At 45.5% G+C, this 19,409-nt stretch overlaps 1 protein-coding gene and 1 pseudogene across 2 annotated transcripts in view, besides 7 other annotated features; one reads left to right on the plus strand and one right to left on the minus strand.

Moving 5' to 3' along the window:
* The window catches only part of RERE (arginine-glutamic acid dipeptide repeats), a 465,237-nt gene extending 461,620 nt beyond the window's left edge, over positions 1-3,617 (minus strand). For both annotated transcript variants that reach the window (NM_001042681.2, NM_012102.4), the window contains exon 1: positions 3,137-3,617. The gene's annotated coding sequence lies outside the window, so the exon portion shown is untranslated. The remainder of the gene's footprint in view (positions 1-3,136) is intronic.
* Positions 27-321: a silencer, noted in NCBI's record as "tiled region #4622; HepG2 Repressive non-DNase unmatched - State 3:PromF". NCBI's record gives its function as "represses a minimal TATA promoter and a strong SV40 promoter by Sharpr-MPRA in HepG2 cells {active_cell/tissue: HepG2}" and the evidence as "EXISTENCE:reporter gene assay evidence [ECO:0000049][PMID:27701403]".
* Positions 3,215-3,274: a silencer, noted in NCBI's record as "silent region_201". NCBI's record gives its function as "represses an Ori minimal core promoter by ATAC-STARR-seq in GM12878 lymphoblastoid cells {active_cell/tissue: GM12878}" and the evidence as "EXISTENCE:reporter gene assay evidence [ECO:0000049][PMID:35858748]".
* Positions 3,525-3,824: a silencer, noted in NCBI's record as "silent region_202". NCBI's record gives its function as "represses an Ori minimal core promoter by ATAC-STARR-seq in GM12878 lymphoblastoid cells {active_cell/tissue: GM12878}" and the evidence as "EXISTENCE:reporter gene assay evidence [ECO:0000049][PMID:35858748]".
* Positions 3,525-3,861: a biological region, named in NCBI's record as "Sharpr-MPRA regulatory region 7894".
* Positions 3,567-3,861: an enhancer, noted in NCBI's record as "tiled region #7894; HepG2 Activating DNase unmatched - State 1:Tss, and K562 Activating DNase unmatched - State 1:Tss". NCBI's record gives its function as "activates a minimal TATA promoter and a strong SV40 promoter by Sharpr-MPRA in HepG2 and K562 cells {active_cell/tissue: HepG2 | K562}" and the evidence as "EXISTENCE:reporter gene assay evidence [ECO:0000049][PMID:27701403]".
* Positions 3,925-4,154: a silencer, noted in NCBI's record as "silent region_203". NCBI's record gives its function as "represses an Ori minimal core promoter by ATAC-STARR-seq in GM12878 lymphoblastoid cells {active_cell/tissue: GM12878}" and the evidence as "EXISTENCE:reporter gene assay evidence [ECO:0000049][PMID:35858748]".
* Positions 7,917-8,140: a silencer, noted in NCBI's record as "fragment chr1:8881999-8882222 (GRCh37/hg19 assembly coordinates)". NCBI's record gives its function as "represses an EF-1alpha promoter that drives an FKBP-Casp9 reporter gene in an ReSE screen in phorbol 12-myristate 13-acetate-treated (for megakaryocytic differentiation) K562 erythroleukemia cells {active_cell/tissue: K562(+PMA)}" and the evidence as "EXISTENCE:reporter gene assay evidence [ECO:0000049][PMID:32094911]".
* Positions 17,090-17,409, plus strand: RPL23AP19 (ribosomal protein L23a pseudogene 19; annotated as a pseudogene).

Raw genomic sequence — 19,409 nt, forward strand, 5'->3', positions numbered from 1 at the left:
GTTCTCAGTTCTAGTTTCCTTGTGACAAAACACTGATGGAGAATATATTGAACTGAAATCCCCTGAATCCATTCCCACTGAGAAAATAATACATTTGAACTGTTCACATTTCATTGTAAAAGATACACAACTTTAGAGATTACTCTTGAAGTTTTGAAAGTAAAGTGAATCAGAAGTCACATTCCTAGAAGCAGTCAGTCTGGAACAGATGTTTATCCTACACACCCAGTCCCCTTTACCACTGCAAACCTCTCTAATAGTTCATTACATTAGAACAACTGAGATGGGCCAGGATTTGTGAAAATAAAAATCCTTTGAGACATTTATTAAGCAGATTATCTCTGAAACTGCACCTTAGTTTACAAGCCTTTGGGCAACAATTTGACCCTCTTCTATGATAATTTGTGTACACACTCATTTCACATTTTCTCTGGCTTCCAATTTTAAATTCTTTATCTAATCCATACAATAAGTCACCCTATCAGACTTTATAAGACTACTGAAAACAACACTACTGCAATGCAAGGCCACTACATTTGCAAAATTGCCGATTTTAGTGAGATTTCCCTCCTTCAACTCCTCCTCTACCCCTCTACCTGGTTTAAATCCCAAGAAAAACCTCTGTCCAGTGCTACAATTTTACTTTCCATAGAGTAGGTTTATTTGATTTTTTATTAATGATACTAAAAACTTTTTTAAAAGACTGCTGGTGTATATAGTTTCCAATACTGGGAACAGAAATAAACCCTCTGGTTTAATATTTCAAGAGAAATTATCTCATAAAAGATGAGAAGGTATCATTCAAAGGAGTCCTGGGAAGTCACAAAGTGTAAATACTTCTGGTAACAGAACAAATTAATGTCGAAGCACAACCAGTAACATAATAATGCCTCAATGCAACCGTGCCTGTCAAAGGACATCTGTATTAGCAGCTCGGGGAAGTGGCATTTGCAGAAAGGCACAACAACTGCGCTTAAAAGAAAATCATTAAGCCTCAGCCATTAATCCCCTCCCCCATCCTCTTCGTCTGGATCTTTCCAAACAATTAACCAGTAGAAGGTGCTATTCTGCAACCCACATGTATTCACACCAACCTCCATCCTTGGGCCACAGCTGGGTTTATCCCAGGTGGACTAGCCTATTCCCTGTCCAGTATTCAAAGGAGCCCCCTAAACAGAAAACCAGATCTTTTCTTATAACCCTTATTTACAAAAACAACATTGACAGCTCAATTGCCAGCAAACCTGACCATCAAACCATCACACCACTAAAAACATGCAAACATCATCTTGCTAAATATTAACCTCAATACAACCTTTATAATATTAATCAATAAAATCTATTTCTATCTAGAAAGACTCTGCTCACATTCACTACTAAGACTCAAGTGAACAAATCACTGTCCCCAACAAAATCAGGGTCAATGAGAAATACAAAAGCAATGAGAGCTGAACGTAAGGCCACAACATATAAAGAGGGATTTTATCTTTACATATACAAAAAAGAAAGAGCAGCAGAAACCACGGCTGCAAAAGGAATAAAGGGAGGCAGAGAGAAGAGAAGTCTCTGAACATGTTTTTGAGTGTCCTTTAGTTTCCAATGCACTCTTCTGCCTCACAAGGTTGCAAAAACGGCCAGGCATGAGATGGGTGGAAGAAAGCTGTAACAGAAAAGCACCCTCCCTTCCCCCATCTTCTCTCTTCTCTCCCAAAAAGAGCTGTGTTTGTCTGTGCAAACCTAGTCCCAAATATGGGAGAGAGAGAATGAATGTGTGTATGGAAGAACAATGAGCCCTCAGCTTGGTATTGTGTGTGTGTGTATGTGTGTGTGTGTGTGTGTATATGTGTGTCTGTCTGCCTCTGCCTCTTTTCCCTTCGACCTCAACAACAACAGGGAGAGCTGGAAGCCAGCTTTCCACCCATCCCAGGCCATCAAAATCAAAACTGGTTGATAATTTACAGTAGTATTAACTCAGCAAGCAAATCCATGGAACAAAATATCAACCCAAAGATGATTTTATTATTGTACAGATCCAGCTTCTCTCCCCTCCCCCAACAGACTGAGACTAAAAAGACCAGTGTACACTAGACAAAAAGGTCTCTCTTTAAATGGAAAGCAATTATGAAAACTGTTTCAAATCTTAGATGCATCAATTCCTGCTATATTAAAATGTCTATTTTGTAATTCACCAAGTTCACCCTCTTACTAGTTATCTTTTTTTGCGTTTAAAAATTCGCTGTGAAGAAGGCTATTTCACGATTCATACAAAACTACTTTCTAAATGTACCTTAAAAAAGCAACAGATACTGAAACATTTAAAGCACCCAGTTTCTCAAGGACCCATTTTACTTAAATCAATGTTTGAAGTCTGTAATCCAGAAAAATTGTAAGCAAACCTTGGAAAAGAGACAGAGGAAAATGACAATTCAACAATGAATCATTCTGTTTTCCTTTCAACAACTTCTCAAGCAACCAGTTTCAAAGGAAGCCTGCAACACTTTTCCCCCCTCCTAGCAGACACACATACACACGTGTATGTAAAACTACGAATCTTTCCATCATCTTAAAAATTAGTAATAAATAGAAGCCACCCTCCTTCAGAGAGCAGAACTAAAACAGGATAGTAAGAATTCTATTCTGCTGCAAGTGACTTTGGGTTTCATAATTTTCTAATCACATACAGCTGAGAACTAGAGATTGGGAGCACAAAGAGGAAATCTTCCCCCAATGAGAAAATGATACTTTAATAATAAAGTCCTCCCCCCAGCACCCCGAAATCCACAAACATTCAAGAAATTTACAGTTTCAGTCCTTGACTTCCTTCCCTTCCAGTTTCAGCCAATAATGTAGTCACATGAAATAGTTTAACCTCAAACAAGTAGAACAAGAGCATGAATAAGAGGCCAAGAGAGAGCAGGGGTCAGAAGGCACGCAGGAACGGTCACCTGGCCCGGACAGGACCAAAGAAGTGCCCTGCCCTCGCCCGACTCCCCTCGACTTCGGCTTCGACCCCAGCCTTTTCTTCCTGCCTCCCCCCGGGCGAGTGACTGCTTTCACGGCCGACCCTCTCTGACCACCAGGACGAGGGGCCAAAAAAGAAAGCACACGACCCGGCGCGGGCAAGTTGGACACTTACCTTCCCCTAAAGCGCTACACCATCAATAGTGAGGTGTTCGCGGCCCAGCTCCGGGGAAAGTGGCGGGGATGGGGCGGGAGGCCGCGCGGAGGCTGCGGGGCCGCGGGGCGCAGGGCCGAGAGGGGCGGCCCGCGGGGAGGCGACGCGGAGGGGCTGAGGGGGCTTCCCTGCCGTGACCTTTCCTGCGACTTGAACCTAGGCTCCCTCCTCCTCGGTCGGGCAGATCTTTCAGAAGCAGGAGCCCAGGATCATGTCTGGTTTTGTTTTCCGAGGGCGAGGGGGCTCCCTGAGGATGATGGTGATTTTTTTTTTTTTTTAATCCTCAACTAGGAGAGAAAATGAGGCAGAGACAATGTGGGGAGCGAGAGAGGGGAAAAGGACGGGGGAGGAGGCGGGGACCGAGGCCCAGCGGGGCGAGCGTCTCGGGGTGTGCGGGAGGCTGAGGAGGCTCCGGAGCGCGGAGGGTTGCTCGCGAGCGTCTGTGGGAACAGCGGCACCTCCGCGATGGTGGCGGAGCCGCGGCGGAGCTGCTGCACCGACCCGCCGCCCACTCCCCGCTCGGGCCCGGCCCACCTCGCAGTATCGCGCCCCTCCATTGGTACAGCGCGGTGTGACGCGGCCGGGGGCCCGGCCAATGGGAGGCGGAGGAGGCGGGATCTCTTTTTCCTTTTTTTTTTTTTTTTTTTTTTTTTTTTAATCTTTTTAATAAAATGAGCAGAGAAGAAGGCGGAGAGAGGCCGAGCCTTGACAACGCCGCGGCCCGGGGCTCGAGGGCTCGCGCTGCAGGCGGCGGCCAGAGGCGGTGGGCTGGGCTCCCGCCGCGGGCGCGTCTTTGTGAGAGTGCGAGGCCGGCCCTCCTCCGCCGCCCGCCGCGCTCCAGTACCGCCCCCCGCGCCCCCCGGGCTGGGCCGGGCTGGCGGCGCGGGCAGGTCCCGGGTGGGGTGGGGGGAAGTCCGGTTGATCTTGCTGTTACCCGGGTCTTAATTGGCCTTTTCAGTCATTAGGACGCGGATCCATGTTGCTGCGGGCTACAGAGTGGGTGTAAACCATTCTCATATGGACTCTTTCGAAATTCTGATGAGCGGCTTGTAATATTTTTCAAATAGTGTACATGACAAAAGATGAATTACAGAAAGAAAAATAAAAGTGATAAGTCGCACTGCTTATTTGAAAAGAATAAAAAGTGTCATGAAGGCATAAAGGAGAGACTGTACAGGTACAGAAGGGATTTTAGAAAGAGCAGTGTACAACTCTATAAGGTACGTGTGAAAAAAAATCTAAAAAGAGGAAAAGACCAAACATCACCTCTTTTTCTTTGAAGAATGAAGTATTGTGTCCCACTTCCCGAAAGCCTGATAATCACAGGGTCTATCATGCTGTAAAGGGAGTAGGGGCAGGCCAAATGATCATATTCTAGTTCATATAATTTATGGGATTGAGGGGTTTGGAAATTTCAATTATGATTAGCAGTTTTTGAAATGCACATCATGTTTATTGAGTTCTTTCACAGAGCCTGGCACGAATCCAGGGTGAATCATCAACCTATTGTTGGTTTGTTAATATTCTGTAAATGCTTATTGGTGTCCTTATACCATACACTCTTCCCGAAGGAGTTAAGGTCCGTATAAAATAAGGGGTAGAAAACGTAGCACAAAATAATTCACTCATCTGTTTCAAAAGAAGTGATAATTTTCTCCTTGGAAAATCTATTCAGATTATAATTTCCACATTGAATTATTCATTTTTTTTTTTTTTCTGAGAGGGAGTTTCACTCTTGTTGCCCAGGCTGGAGTGCAATGGCGCGATCTCGGCTCACCGCCACCTCCGCCTCCTCAGTTCAAGCGATTCTCCTGCCTCAGCTTCCCGAGTAGCTGAGATTACAGGCATGCGCCACCACACCCAGCTAATTTTGTATTTTTAGTAGAGATGGGGTTTCTCCATGTTGGTCAGGCTGGTCTCGAACTCCTGACCTCAGGTGATCCGCCCGCCTCAGCCTCCCAAAGTGCTGGAATTACAGGCGTGAGCCACCGCACCCGGCCCACATTCAATTATTCTTTAAAGAATAATTTGGACTAACAGATACTATTGGACCATGACCCAAGAGATCTTAAAAAAAAAAAAAAAAGCCATAGATCCTTGCCATCACATTTCTGAGTAACTTTCAGCAAGAAAAATCCTCTTTGCTGGAGTTATGAAATGGGGAAACTAGTTAATATCTCTTTATATATCTGATAATGTGAGAACTGAATTTTAAAACCTAATAAATTCAATAAACTGCTTCCAACATTCTAGATATGGATAGGACTATCTGACTTCCTGTTTGGAAATGATGAGGGATAAAGTATATCAGTTAGATGGCTTCACTTTCCATCAAAATCTCTATCTACAGGAGCATTCTTTCTTTTTTTTCTTTTTTTTTTTTTTGAGACAGAGTCTCGCTCTGTTGCCCAGGCTGGAGTGCAGTGGCACGATCTCAGCTCACTGCAACCTCCACCTCCTCGGTTGAAGCGATTCTCCTGCCTCAGCCTCCTGAGTAGCTGAAATTACAGGTGTGTGCCGCCACACCCAACTAACTTTTGTAATTTTAGTAGAGATGGAGGTTCACTATGTTGCCCAGGCTGGTCTCGAAACTTACAGGAGCATTATTTCTAATAAAGATTCAGCTCTGTGGTAGACAAATGGACAATGCACTGCCATCCAGCAGGGAGGAGAGAGGCTCTCCACGTTAGGAAATAACATTTACTATGGTATTAGGGATTGGCCGTCACTTTCATTTATCCATAAAAATGTAAATTTAGAAGTCCAGAAATGCCACATAGTTACAAAGCATAATATATGGTATCAGACCACAAAATTAGCAAACTAAACCCATTTAACTGTAACAGTCCCACGAAAGAATTGTGGTCCAGCCATAAAGCCGGAGAGTACTGGACCTCCTTCCAAGGATCTGAGAAGCTGATAATGCAGTAAAATAATCTTCATCGTTAAGAACAACTATTAAACTATTGATTGAAAGCTTATGTTCCCAGTGCCCTAAGAAACATGTTACATTCTTTAGCCCACTTTTTCTCCCCATGAAGTGTATTATTATTATCTCTTTTTTTTTTTTTTTTTTTTTTTGAGACAGTTTCGATCTTGTTGCCCAGGCTGGAGTGCAATGGCGCGATCTCAGATCACCGCAACCTCTGACCCCCGGGTTTAAGCGATTTTCCTGCCTCAGCCTCCTGAGCAGCTGGGATTACAGGCATGTGCCACCATGCCCAGCTAATTTTGTATTTTTAGTAGAGACAGGGTTTTTCCATGTTGGTCAGGCTGGTCTCGAACTCCCAACCTCAGATGATCCGCCCGCCTCAGCCTCCCAAAATGCTGGGATTACAGGCGTGAGCCACTGCTCCCGGCTTATTATCTCCATTTTAAAAGTCAAGGAACTGGGGCTTACGGAAGTTAAAGAACTAGCTGAAGATTAAAGACGTAAAATACCGACTTGGATTTTTTTCCCATATTAAATTTTTAAAAGTTTCCTTATTCTCTTTTCAGCAATATTTTTAAGTGGGAATTAAGTAAATAAAGTAGTTATTGAATCTGAAAATATCAAGGACTTTTTTTAGTTATTTTATGTATCTTACTACAGGTAAGAAGTGATTTTTTTTTAAATATACAGAGATCACATCAGAGCTGTATTAAAGGAAGATGGAAAATGGGGATTATTTAATAAATGATATTGGGACAACAAGATAGCTATATGGGGAAACAAAAAACAACAACACACACCCACTAGATTCATATTACTCCTAACACACCCCACCCCCAAAATCACAGGTGGATTTCTTTATTTTTTTAATTGAAATTTTTTTTTTTTGGAGCCCAGGAATTTGAGACTACTCTGAGCAACATAATGAGACCCCCATCTCTACAAAAAAATTTTAAAAATTAGCTGAGTGTGATGGCACATGCCTGTAGTCCAGGCTATTTGGGAAGCTGAGGTGGGAGGATGGCTTCAGCCTGGGAGGTTGAGGCTGCAGTGAGCTGTGATCATGCCACTGCATTCCAACCTGGTGACAAGAGTGAGACCCTGTCTCAAAGGAAAAAAAAAAAGGAAGTTAGCCCTTGCTTATACGTGTTGAAAATGTTTCTCCCCAGTCTGCCTGTTTCTTGCATTGCTATGGTGTTTTTATGCCTTATAGGGATGTGAAATATTTATGCAGTAAAATTTATTGGTGTTTTTTCCTTTATGGCGTCTGGATTTCCTGCCATGTTAGAAAGAGCTTCTTCAATCCATGATTTGAAAAAGTTTTAGTGTTCTTCTAATACTTTTGATTTCATTTTTTAAAATCATAAAAATTTGGCATAGACAAAAGAATATACATTATGTGTACATAGGTTGAGGGGGATAATAATAAAATAAACACCAGTAAACTCAACCTAAGAAATTGTGGTTTAGTGGTTTCACTTTTTTAATCATTTATTTTAATTTTTTTTAGAGACAAGGACTTTTTTCTTTTCATATCAAGCATGGATAATTCTTATAATTAAAAAAAACCATTCAAGTTCTTTGAACATACAGCTGGTAACTAGTCTTCATAATTCACCAGCAGTACTCAAGCTTTAGAACATGTAAATTATTTTCCCCTAAAATGCCTTAAGCAGAACTAGGGTGCTTTAGCAGGCCTTGTAGCAGACTGAAGCTTGTTTCTAGGCATTTTCTATGAAATTGGCTTCCAAGTTTATGTAGTGCAAATATAAGCCAATAACGAGCCTCAGCTATATCTCCCGTTGCACTTTTTCAGGTTGAGCCTCCAGCAGCACTTCTTTCTTCCCCACTGCCAGTTCTCCGAGCTCACCTTGCATTTACCCACAGCGGGTTTTCACTTTATAATTTATTGTAAATCGAAATTTCTCCCTCTCCAGTTTTTTCCCCTTGGGCCAGGTAAGTAACCCCTGGTAGCCTTTGAAAGTCCCTGCACTGAATTGGAACGGAGAAATGGTTGATGTTTCAGAGCACATGTGTGAGCAAATACAGAGAGAGGTGAAACAGCTTTTCAAAACAAAGGATCAAATATCAGAAACCCTTTTCCTTTGTTTGGCTGTGATTTATTGTGGATTAGCAATTAAGATTTCCAATTCTGGCCGGGCACAGTGGCTCATGCCTGTAATCCCAGCACTTTGGGAGGCCGAGGTGGGCAGATCACCTGAGGTCAGGAGTCTGAGACCAGCCTGACCAACATGGTGAAACCCCATCTCTACTAAAAATACAAAATTAGCCGGGCATGGTGGTGCATGCCTGTAATCCCAGCTACTCGGAAGGCTGAGCCAGGAGAATCACTTAAACCCAGAAGGTGGAGGTTGCAGTGAGCCGCGATGGCGCCATTGCACCCCAGGTTGGGCAACAAGAGCAAAACTCCATCTCAAAAAAAAAAAAGATTTCCAATTCAACTCTAGACCCTATTGAATTTTATTTCCACCAAGGTAGAAGTGGGCCTGATTACCAACACACTTACAGATAGATCTCAAGAAACCCTGCTTCACTGGGCCACGTCGGATTTATGGGAGGGATGCCCTTCCCTTTGAGTCGCACTTTGAGCCACAGCATGTTGTCTGGGGCACTAGGATGCCGTTTGGATGAGATCTAAACCCAACATCTGACTTCTGACCACTTGTGGTTATTAAAAGTCTCCTAGGGCTTGTGAAAGAATTAAAGGGAGGAGACGCTGATTTTCATTGTCTTGGCCCAATTCCAAGTTTGATAATTAGGAGTCCTCCTCCCTCTGTCTTCCTGCCATTTCACTGAGACATGCAATTCCACACTTCCTGTTATAAACAGCTGTCCACTGTTAACTGAGTGAGCCAGAGAGCCAGCAAATTCCACCCTAGGGGAAGCTGCATTTCAAAATAAACATTTCCTCCACATCTACTTGTAAATTACCTAGGTTTACCTTGGAGGAAAGGTGTTATTTTCTAGGGATAAGAAGGGCATAATAATGGGGAGTTGAGAACTATCCACAAACCCTAGTTTGTCTAAACACCAAACAAACAAGACTAACATTGATCACAAAGGGGCCCTCAGAAGAAATCTCCTCACTAAAGAAAATACATTTTAGATTCTAAAATTGTCTTTAGGGGGTCCAGAATTTAATTGTATAACATTGATGTGGCAGGTGCTATTAGCCACCAAAACTCACTTCTTCAATCCAAGGCATCTACACAAACAGAATAAAGAGGAAAAACTCTGTAACCCCGGAAAAAAAAAAAAAAAAAAAAAAAAAACAGAAAAATTCACCTCCGCCATCCACGCTCCGGTGTCGATGTGACACATGCCTGGACACTCATTTTAGTGCTTCCCTCCTCTTTGTTCAGCTTTTCCAGGCACCTTAATTTCAAAATATCCACATTCCCATTCCTTTCAATGCCAAATATCTCCTTCTACTACTCCAGTTTCCAGAATAAATTCTGCTATGGCTGGGCACAGTGGCTCACGCCTGTAATCCTAGCACTTTGGGAGGCCAAGGCGGGTGGATCACCAGAGGTCAGGAGTTCGAGACCAGCCTGGCCAACATGGTGAAACCCCATCTCTACAAAAATTCAAAAAATTAGCCGGGCATGGTGGTGGGCACCTGTAATCCCAGCTGCTCAGGAGCCTAAGGCAGGAGAATCGCTTGAACCCGGGAAGCAGAGGTTGCAGTGAGCTGAGATCATGCCACTGCACTCCAGCCTGGGCCACAAAGCGAGACTCCATCTCAAAAAATAAATAAAATAAATTCTGCTACATTTGCTTTTTTAAAATCTTATTAATAAAAACAGCATTTTAACATGGAAGCAACCAAGATGTCCTTCATTAGGTGAACAGATAAACTGTGATACATTCATGCAATGCAGTATTATTCCACACTAAAAAGGAACGTGCTATCAAGCCAGGAAAAGGCATGGAGGTGCTGGGTGTGGTGGCTCACTCCTATAATCCCAGCACTTTGAGAGCCAAAGGCAGGAGGATCTCTTGAGGCCAGGAGTTAGAGACCAGCCTGAGCAAAATGGTGAGACTCCGGCTCCACAAAAATAGTAATGATCTTTAAAAATAAAAATAAAAAATAAAGAAAAGGTGTAAGGAACATTAAAGGCATATTACCATGTGGAAGAAACCAATGTGAAAAGGCTACATACCATATGAATCCAACTATCTGACATTCTGGAAAAGGCAAAACTATGTCTAGGAAAGGCATATTCTGGGAAAGGCAGTAAAGGGCTTAGTGGTTGCGAGGGCTTTGACAGGGGGAGGGATAACTAGGTGGAGCACAGGAGATTTTTAGGACAGTGAAACTATTATTCTGCATGATACTTTATTGGTGGATATATGTTACTATACATTTGTCAAAACCCACAGAATGGGCCAGGCGCCGTGGCTCACGCCTATAATCCCAGCACTTTGTAAAGGGAGGCAGAGGCAGGAGGATCATTTGAGCCCAGGAGTTCAAGGCTGCAGTGAGCTGTGATTGCGCCACTGCACTCCAGCCTGGGCGACAGAGGGAGACTCTGTCTCCAAAAACAAAAAGGCTGAGTGCAGTGGATCATACCTGTAATCCCAGCACTTTGGGAGGCCAAGGCAGGCAGATCACTTGAGGTCAGGAGTTCTAGACCAGGCAGGCCAACATGGTGAAACCCCATCTCTACTAAAAATACAAAAAAGTAGCCCGGTGGCACGTGCCTGTAATTCCAGCTACCCGGGAGGCTGAGGCAGGAGAATTGCTTGAGCCTGGGAGGCAGAGGTTGCAGTGAGCCAAGATTGCACCACTACACTCCAGCCTGGGCAACAAAGCAAGACTCTGTCTCAAAAATAAATAGGCTGGGCGCGGTGGCTCACGCCTGTAATCCCAGCACTTTGGGCAGCCGAGGCGGGTGGATCCCGAGGTCAGGAGTTCAAGACCAGCCTGGCCAAGATGATGAAACCCCGTCTCTACTAAAAATACAAAAAATTAGCTGGGCGTGGTGGCACGCGCCTGTAATCCCAGCTACTCCAGAGGCTGAGGCAGAGAATTGCTTAAACCTGGAGAGGCGGAGGTTGCAGTGAGCCGAGATCGCGCCACTGCACTCCAGCCTGGGCAACAGAGCGAGACTCCGTCTCAAAAAAATAAAATAAATAAATAAATAAAATAAACGATGGACTTTAGTGAATAAGACTGTATCAACATTGACTCATCAGTCATAACAAAGAGACCACACTGACAGGAGATGTTAATAACAGGGGTAGCAGTGGGGAGTGAGGGGTATACAGGAACTCTGTCCTTTGGGCTCAATTTTGCTGTGAACCTAAAACCGCTCTAAAAAATGAAGTCTATTGGCCAGGCGTGGTGGCTCACGCCTGTAATCCCAGCACCTTAGGGATTACACACCCGTAATCCTAGCGAGGCAGGTGGATCACCTGAGGTCAGGAGTTCAAGACCAGCCTGGCCAACATGGTGAAACCCCATCTCTACTAAAAATACAAAAAAGTAGCTGGACGTGATGGTGGGCGCCTGTAATCCCAGCTACTCGGGAGGCTGAGGCAGGAGAATTGCTTGAACCCGGGAGGTGGAGGTTGCAGTGAGCCGAGATCACACCATTGCACTCCAGCCTGGGGAAGACGAGCAAAACTCCATCTCGAAAATTAAGAGTCTATTAATCAAAAAAGCAAGAGCATTTGAGTTCTGTCCTTTTTATGGTGAAGAATGGAGACTTACTCAACATCTGAAGTACAGATTTAGCATGAGGAGGTTCCAACGTGGAAGCCAGGCAAAGCAGAGCAATCTGACCTCAGGAAGGGAAGAGACAGAAGTGAGGCCACGGGAAGGTCGGGACTGCAGCTCTCTTCCCAGCGTTAATGTCACTGGTCCCCTGTTCTCATCTTCCCACCCCCCGGCCTCCTCACCCTGCACCACGTGGCTTTTCTTGACTTCACAGCCTTCTTCTATTTGCACCTCCCTCGTAATTGCGGCTTGCATGTGGCTTCTCACAGCCTCTCCGGTTGTTCCGCAGCTTATGACTGAGCAGCTTGGGCGGCTTCTGCCAACTCCTCATGACTTCAGTATTTCCTAGTTAAAATTCCTAAGAGGAAGAAACCTAATTGGCCCAGGTCATCCTTTCAGGCCCCACCCTGGCCTGGCCACTGAAGGCTGTCAGCCATCGGTCAGTGCACAGCCAGGCTGTCCCAGGGAGCTGCTTCCCCAAAGGCTCAGTAGGACAGCTTGTCTGAAGATGGGCCCAGGGGTGTGACAGCTCTCCTGATGTGTCACACAAATACCAGAGTATCACCTTAGCTGGGGATACATTCCAGACCCCCACGGATGCCTGAAACCTTGGACAGTAAACCATTTCTACTATGCTTTTTCCTAGGCATTCACACCTAAGATAAAGTTTAATTTATAAATTAAGCACAGTAGGCCGAGCACAGTGGCTCACGCCTGTAATCGCAACACTCTGGGAGGCCGAGGAGTGGGGGAGTGGATCATGAAGTCAGGAGTTCGAGACCAGCCTGACCAACATGGTGAAACCCCGTCTGTACTAAAAATACAAAAATTAGCTGGGCATGGTGGTGCGTGCCTGTAATCCCAGCTACTCAGGAGGCTGAGGCAAGAGAATCGCTTGAACCCAGGAGGTGGAGGTTGCAATGAGCCGAGATCGTGCCACTACACTCCAGCCTGGGCGACAGAGTGACACTCAATCTCAAAAAAAAAAAAAAAGGAAAATGAAAAAAATTTTTAAAAAATTAAGCACAGTAAAAGATTAACAAGAGGACTGGGGCGTGGTGGCTCACGCCCGTAATCCCAGCACTTTGGGAGGCCAAAGTGCAAGGATCCTTTGAGCCCAGGAGTTCGAGACCAGCCTGGGCAACAAAGTGAGACTCTGTCTTTACAAAAAATACAAAAAGTTACCCAGATGTGGGGACGCACACCTGTAGTCCCAGCTACCTGGGAGGCTGAGGTGGGAGAATCACCTGAGCTCCAGAGGTTGAGGCTGCAGTGAGCACTGATCACACCACTCCACTCCTGCTTGGGCAACAGAGTAAGACTCTGTCTCAAAACAAAAAACAATACAGTGCAATAAAAGTTACATGGGCCAAGAACCGTGGCTCACACTTCTAATGCCTGTAATCCCAGCATTTTGGGAGGCTGATGCAGGAGAATCACTTGAGCCCAGAAGTTCGAGACCAGCCTGAGCAACACAGGGAGATCCCATATCTACAAAAATACAAAAATTGGCCAGGCACAGTGGCTGATGCTTGTTATCCCTGTACTTTGGGAGGCCGAGACGGGCAGATCACCTGAGGTCAGGGGTTTGAGTCCAGCCTGGCCAACATGCGAAACCCTGTCTCTACTAAAAATACAAAAATTAGCCGGGCGTGGTGGTGCATACCTGTACTGTAATCCCAGCCACCTGGGAGGCTGAGGCAGGCGAATCACTGGAACCTGGGAGGCGGAGTCTGCAGTGAGCCAAGATCAGGCCAGTGCACTCCAGCCTGGGCGACAGAGTGAGACTCTTTCTCAAACAAACAAACAAACAAAAAGTATCCAGGCTTGGTGGCATATGCCTGTAGTCCCAGCTACTTGGGAGGCTGAGGTGAGAGGATCCCTTGAGCCTAGGAGGTAGAGGCTGCCATGATCACACCACTACAATCCAGCCTGGGCAACAGAGTGAGATCCTGTCTCAAAAAGGAAAAGAAAACTTACTTGAATGTGATTGCTCTCCTTTGCTCTCAAATTATTATACTGTACTTTACTAACCTATTTTCAGACACAGTTGACCACAGCACACTGAAAACGAGGAAAGAGAAATGGCAGATACAGGTGGGACTACTGTAATGTGCTTTTGGAATGGGTGGTGGCAAAAAAAGATAAGAGTTACGCTAGTGTCAACTCATGCCTGTAATCCCATCACTTTGAGAGGCCAAGGCGGGTGGATCTTTTGAGCCCTTAAGTTTGAGACCAGCCTGGGCAACATGGCAAAACCTGTCTACTAAAAACACAAAAAATAGCTGGGCATGGTGGTGTGCACCTGTAGTCCCAGCTACTCAGGAGGCCAAGGCAGAAGAATCACTTAAACCCAGGAGGCGGAGGTTGCAGAGAGCTGAGATCGTGCCACTGCACTCCAGCCTGGGCAACAGAGCGAGACTCTGTCTCAAAAACAAAAATAAAAAAATACAAAAAATTAGCTGGGTGTGGTGGTGTGTGCCTGTAGTCCCAGCTACTCGGGAGGCTGAAGTAGGAGAATTGTTTGAGCCCAAGAAGTTGAGTCTGCACTGAGCTGAGATCTGCCAATGCACTCCAGCTTGGACAACAGGAGTGAGATCTTGCCTCAAAAAAAAAAAAAAAAAAAAAAAAGATAAAGGTAAAACTGAACCTTAGCAGCTATTTTTTAAATAATCACCTTTACAGTGGACATTTGTCCTTTCTTACAGAGAAAACCCAAAAGAAGGGGAGAAGGGGCAGACCATAAGTTACAGAATGTTCACATTATCTTGATCAGTAAAAATTCTATAAGAATGACCCCCGAAACAGCTGGGCACAGTGGCTCATGCCTGTAATCCCAGCACTTTGGCAGGCCGAGGTGGGTGGATCACCTGAGGTCAGGAGTTTGAGACCAGTCTGGCCAACATGGCGAAACCCCATCTCTACTAAAAATTCAAAAAACTAGCCAGGCATGGTGGTGGGCACCTGTAACCCCAGCTACTTGGGAGGCTGAGGCAGGAGAATTGTTTGAACCTGGGAGGCAGAGGTTGCAGTGAGCCGAGACAAGATCGCACCATTGCACTCCAGCCTGGGTGACAGAGCGAGACTGTCTAAAAAAATAAAAAGAATGATCCCCGAAACACATCCCCATAAGAAGCCTTTCAAAAAGTCCCCATGACCTTCAAACTAGTAGCAAATTCTTACTATACCCAAGGAGAGTAAAGATAACACCAAGTACACACCTGTAATCCCAGCACTTTGGGAGGCCGAGACAGGTGGATCATGAGGTCAGGAGATCAAGGCCATCCTGGCTAACATGGTGAAACCCCGTCTCTACTAAAAATACAAAAAAATTAGCCGGGCATGGTGGCGGGCGCCTGTAGTCCCAGCTACTCAGGAGGCTGAGGCAGGAGAATGGCGTGAAACTGGGAGGCGGCGCTTGCAGTGAGCCGAGATCGTGCCACTGCACTCCAGCCTGGGCGACAGAGCGAGACTCCGTCTCAAAACAAACAAACGAACAAAAATGTTAAATATTTCCCAAGAACCTGTGACTAGATTATATCTACATAATGGTCTGTATCTGTGTGTTTGTGAAGAATTCTCCCCGTAGAGGTAGATTCTTGTCTTCCTAAGACAAATCTGAATCAGTCCTAAGATCACATCATCAGTGACTTGATGTCCTCCTCCCCTTCGTCCCTGTTTAGATTCCATGGTCAGAGTCCTCTCTCCAGTGTGTACACCTTTATCAACCTCCCCCTCTCACTTCCTCACACTCCCTGGGCAAAACCACAACCCTGGTGATAATTCCAATTTGCTGCCTGGTAGGCATCTGCACCTGTCCAGCCAAATGAGGCTGGCATCACACTAACGAGTTTCACTTTCAAATTCACAACCACAAACCTCACGTGGAGTCTTCACGCCCCTTGGCAATCATACAACACTTATCCAGGTTAATTTCTCCCTTCATTTTCCAAGCAGTTATTTTATAACCTCTCCTTTCTGCTCAAACCTCCAACACCTCCTCCCTTCCCCTCACTTCCAGTTAATGGCTTTCTTTCGGTTCACTGTGAATGTTGACACAATCAGCAGAGAAGCTGTGTGATCTCCCCCCTCCCCACACCTATCTATCATTCTCTAAATCCCCACGCTCTGGGCTCCTGCCTACTATTATAGACAAAGCATCTCTGCTATTAGAGCCCAGCCCTCTGCCTGTGCACTTGATCCAGTCCCCTCTGATTACTCATGGATATCACTCAGAAATTATCCCCTCTCTCTGCTACATCAGGGTTTTATTTTTTATTTTTTATTTTTTTTGCTCTCTGCTGGATCATTCCCATTAGAATATACATAAGATAGGCCAGGCACAGTGGCTCACACCTGTAATCCCAACAGTTTGGGAGGCTGAGGTGGGCGGATCACCTGAGGTCAGGAGTTCGAGACCAGCCTGACCAACATGGTGAAATCCCATCTCTACTAAAAATACAAAAATTAGCCGGTCATGGTGGCACATGCCTGCAATCCCAGCTGCTTGGGAGGCTGAGGCAAGAGAATCGCTTGAACCCGGGAGGCGGAGGTTGCAATGAGTCAAGATCGTGCCATTGCACTTCAGCCTGGGCAACAACAGTGAAACTCCATCTCGAAAAAAAAAACAAACAAAAAGAATATACATAAGTTTTTTTTATTCCCCTATAATAAGGCTTCTCTTAACTAAGCTTTAGACATTATCTACTGCCCCATTTCTTTGCTCCCTTTTCCAGCAAAACACCTTTGAAAGAATGATCTACATTTGCTGTATCCAATTCCTTGTTTCCTATTCTCTGTAAAATCCACCCCAATCTCACTCTAACTCAACCTCTCCTCCAAAACTTTTCCTATCAAAAGGAAGAGCCAGTGGCTCACACCTATAATCCCAGCATTTTGGGAGGCCGAGGCAGGAGGATCACTTGAGGTCAGGAGTTGACCAGCCTGGTCAACATGGCAAAAACCCCGTCTCTACTAAAAACACAAAAATTAGCTGGGCATGGTGGCGCATGCCTGTAATCCCAGCTACTCAGGAGGCTGAGGTACGAGAATCGAATCGACTGAACCCGGGAGGTAGAGGTGGCAGTGAGCCAAGATTGCGCCATTGCACCCAGCCTGGGCAACGGAGACTCTGTCTCAAAAAAAAAAAAAAAAAAAAGGAGAGCCAGCTGGACTCCAAAAGAGAGCCCATCTTTCTACCGAGCCCAGCCCAGGTGACCCCATTTTGCCTCTCTCCCAGGCTTGACCACTATGCCATCATCAAGTTCCCACTGACCACCGAGTCTGCTATGAAGATGGAAGACAACAACACACTTGTGTTGATTGTGGATGTTAAAGCCAACAACACCAAGTCAAACAGGCTGTGAAGAACCTCTATGACGTGGATGTGGCCAAGGCCAACACCCTGATTCGGCCTGATGGAGAGAAGAAGGCATAAAGGCATATGTTCGACTGGCTCCTGATTATGATGCTTTGAATGTTGCCGACAAAATTGGGATCATCTAAACTGAGTCCAGCTGGCTAATTCTTATCTGATACAATTGATCACTGTTCCTGCCTCCTCTTTGCCAGAGGGGCTCTTGCAATTTTGTTGAGTTTTACCTCCAGAAGCCCAACTGGGTTCTCACAATGATCTGAAAAAAATCCCCTCATGCTTCCAGCAGGGGGAGAGGAAAAGCAGCCGTTTTGGAATACACCCAGAACACTCTGATTTTTTCAGGGGATTTTTTTTTTCTTTTGAGACAGAGTTTTGCTCTCCTTGCCCAGGCTGGAGTGCAATTGAGTGATCTTGGCTCACCGCAAACTTCGCATCCTGGGTTCAAGTGATTCCCCTGCCTCAGCCTCCCAAGTAGCTGGGATTACAGGCATGAACTTCCACGCCTGGCTAATTTTGTATTTTTAGTAGAGATGGGGTTCCTCTATGTTGGTCAGGCTGGTCTTGAACTCCTGACCTCAAGTGATCCGCCCGCCTTGGCCTCCCAAAGTGCTGGGATTACAGGCATGAGCCACCGTGCTCGGCCCAGAACACTGTTCTTAATAAGGCCTGCCCTGAAAGGAAACTACAGTCATACACTGCATAAGACGTTTTGGTCAACAACAGACCACATATATGATGATTGTCCCAGAAGATACCATATTTTTACTGTACCCTTTTAATGTTTAGATTTGTTTAGATAGGGCCAGGTGCAGTGGCTCACGTCTGTAATCCCCCAGCAGCACTTTGGGAGGCAGAGGCAGGAGGATCCCTTGAGCCGGGAAGTGGAGGCTGCAGTGAGCTGAGATCCAGTCACTGCACTCCAGCCGGGAAGACAGAGCAAGTCTCTGTCTCAGAAAAAAGAAAGAAAGAAAGAAAGAAAACAAAAGAAGAAAGCTTTATCAGACAAACAAAAATTGAGAAAATTCACATCCGTAATCCCAGCATTTTGGGAAGCTGAGGCAGGGAGGGCCCCTTGAGCCCAGGAGTTCAAGACCACCCTGGACAACATAGTGAGACCCCAGCCTCTACAAAAAATTACAAAACTTAGCCAATCATGGTGGCACATGCCTACTCTGGAGGTCAAGGTGAGAGGATCACCCAAGCCAGGGAGATTAGGGCTGCAGTAAGCCATGATTGTGCCACTGCACTCCACCCTGGGTGACAGACCAAGACTCTTGCCTAAAAACAAACAAACAAAAAAATTAAGGACATTTTTGCCGGCAGACCTGCTTTTCAAAAAATGTTTAAAGTATTTTTTTGTTTTTGTTTGTTTTTGTTTTTGTTTTTTGAAGTGGAGTCTCACTCTGTCGCCCAGGCTGGAGTGCAATGGCGCGATCTCGACTCACTGCAACCTCCACCTCCCAGTTCAAGTGATTCTCTTGCCTCAGCCTCCCAAGTAACTGGGACTATAGACGTGCACCACCACACCCGGCTTATTTTTGTATTTTTAGTAGAAACAGGGTTTCACCATGTTGGCCAGGCCGATCTCGAACTCCTGACCTCTGGTGATCTGCCCGCCTAGGCCTCCCAAAGTACTGGGATTACAGGTGTGAGCCACTGCACCTGGCCTAAAGTTTTTTGTTTTTGTTTTTGTTTTCCTGGGCACAGTGGCTTAATGCCTGTAATCCTAGCACTTTGGAAGGTCGAGGCAGGCAGACTGCTTGAGCCCAGCAGTCTAAGACCAGCCTGGGCAACATGGCAAAAACTCATCTCTACAAAAAACAAAAAAATACAAAAAATTGGCGACATGTGGTGGTGCACACCTGTAATCCCAGCTACCCAGGAGGCTGAGGTGGGAGGATCACCTGAGCTAGGGAGGTCAAGGCTGCAGTGAGATGAGATTGTGCCATTGTACATCAGCCCGGGTGACGGAGTGAGATGCTGTCTCAAAATAAAATAAAATAAAATAAAATAACGCTGGGCGTAGTGGCTCATGGCTGTAATCCTAGCGCTTTGGGAGGCTGAGGCAGGCAGGTTGCCTAAGCTCAGGACATCGAGACCAGCCTGGGCAACACAGTGAAACCCTGTCTCTACTAAAATACAAAAAATTAGCCAGGTGTGGCAGCGTGCGACTCTAGTCCCA

Source organism: Homo sapiens, chromosome 1 (genome assembly GCF_000001405.40).
Source record: "Homo sapiens chromosome 1, GRCh38.p14 Primary Assembly".
NCBI classification, from domain to species: domain Eukaryota; kingdom Metazoa; phylum Chordata; class Mammalia; order Primates; family Hominidae; genus Homo; species Homo sapiens.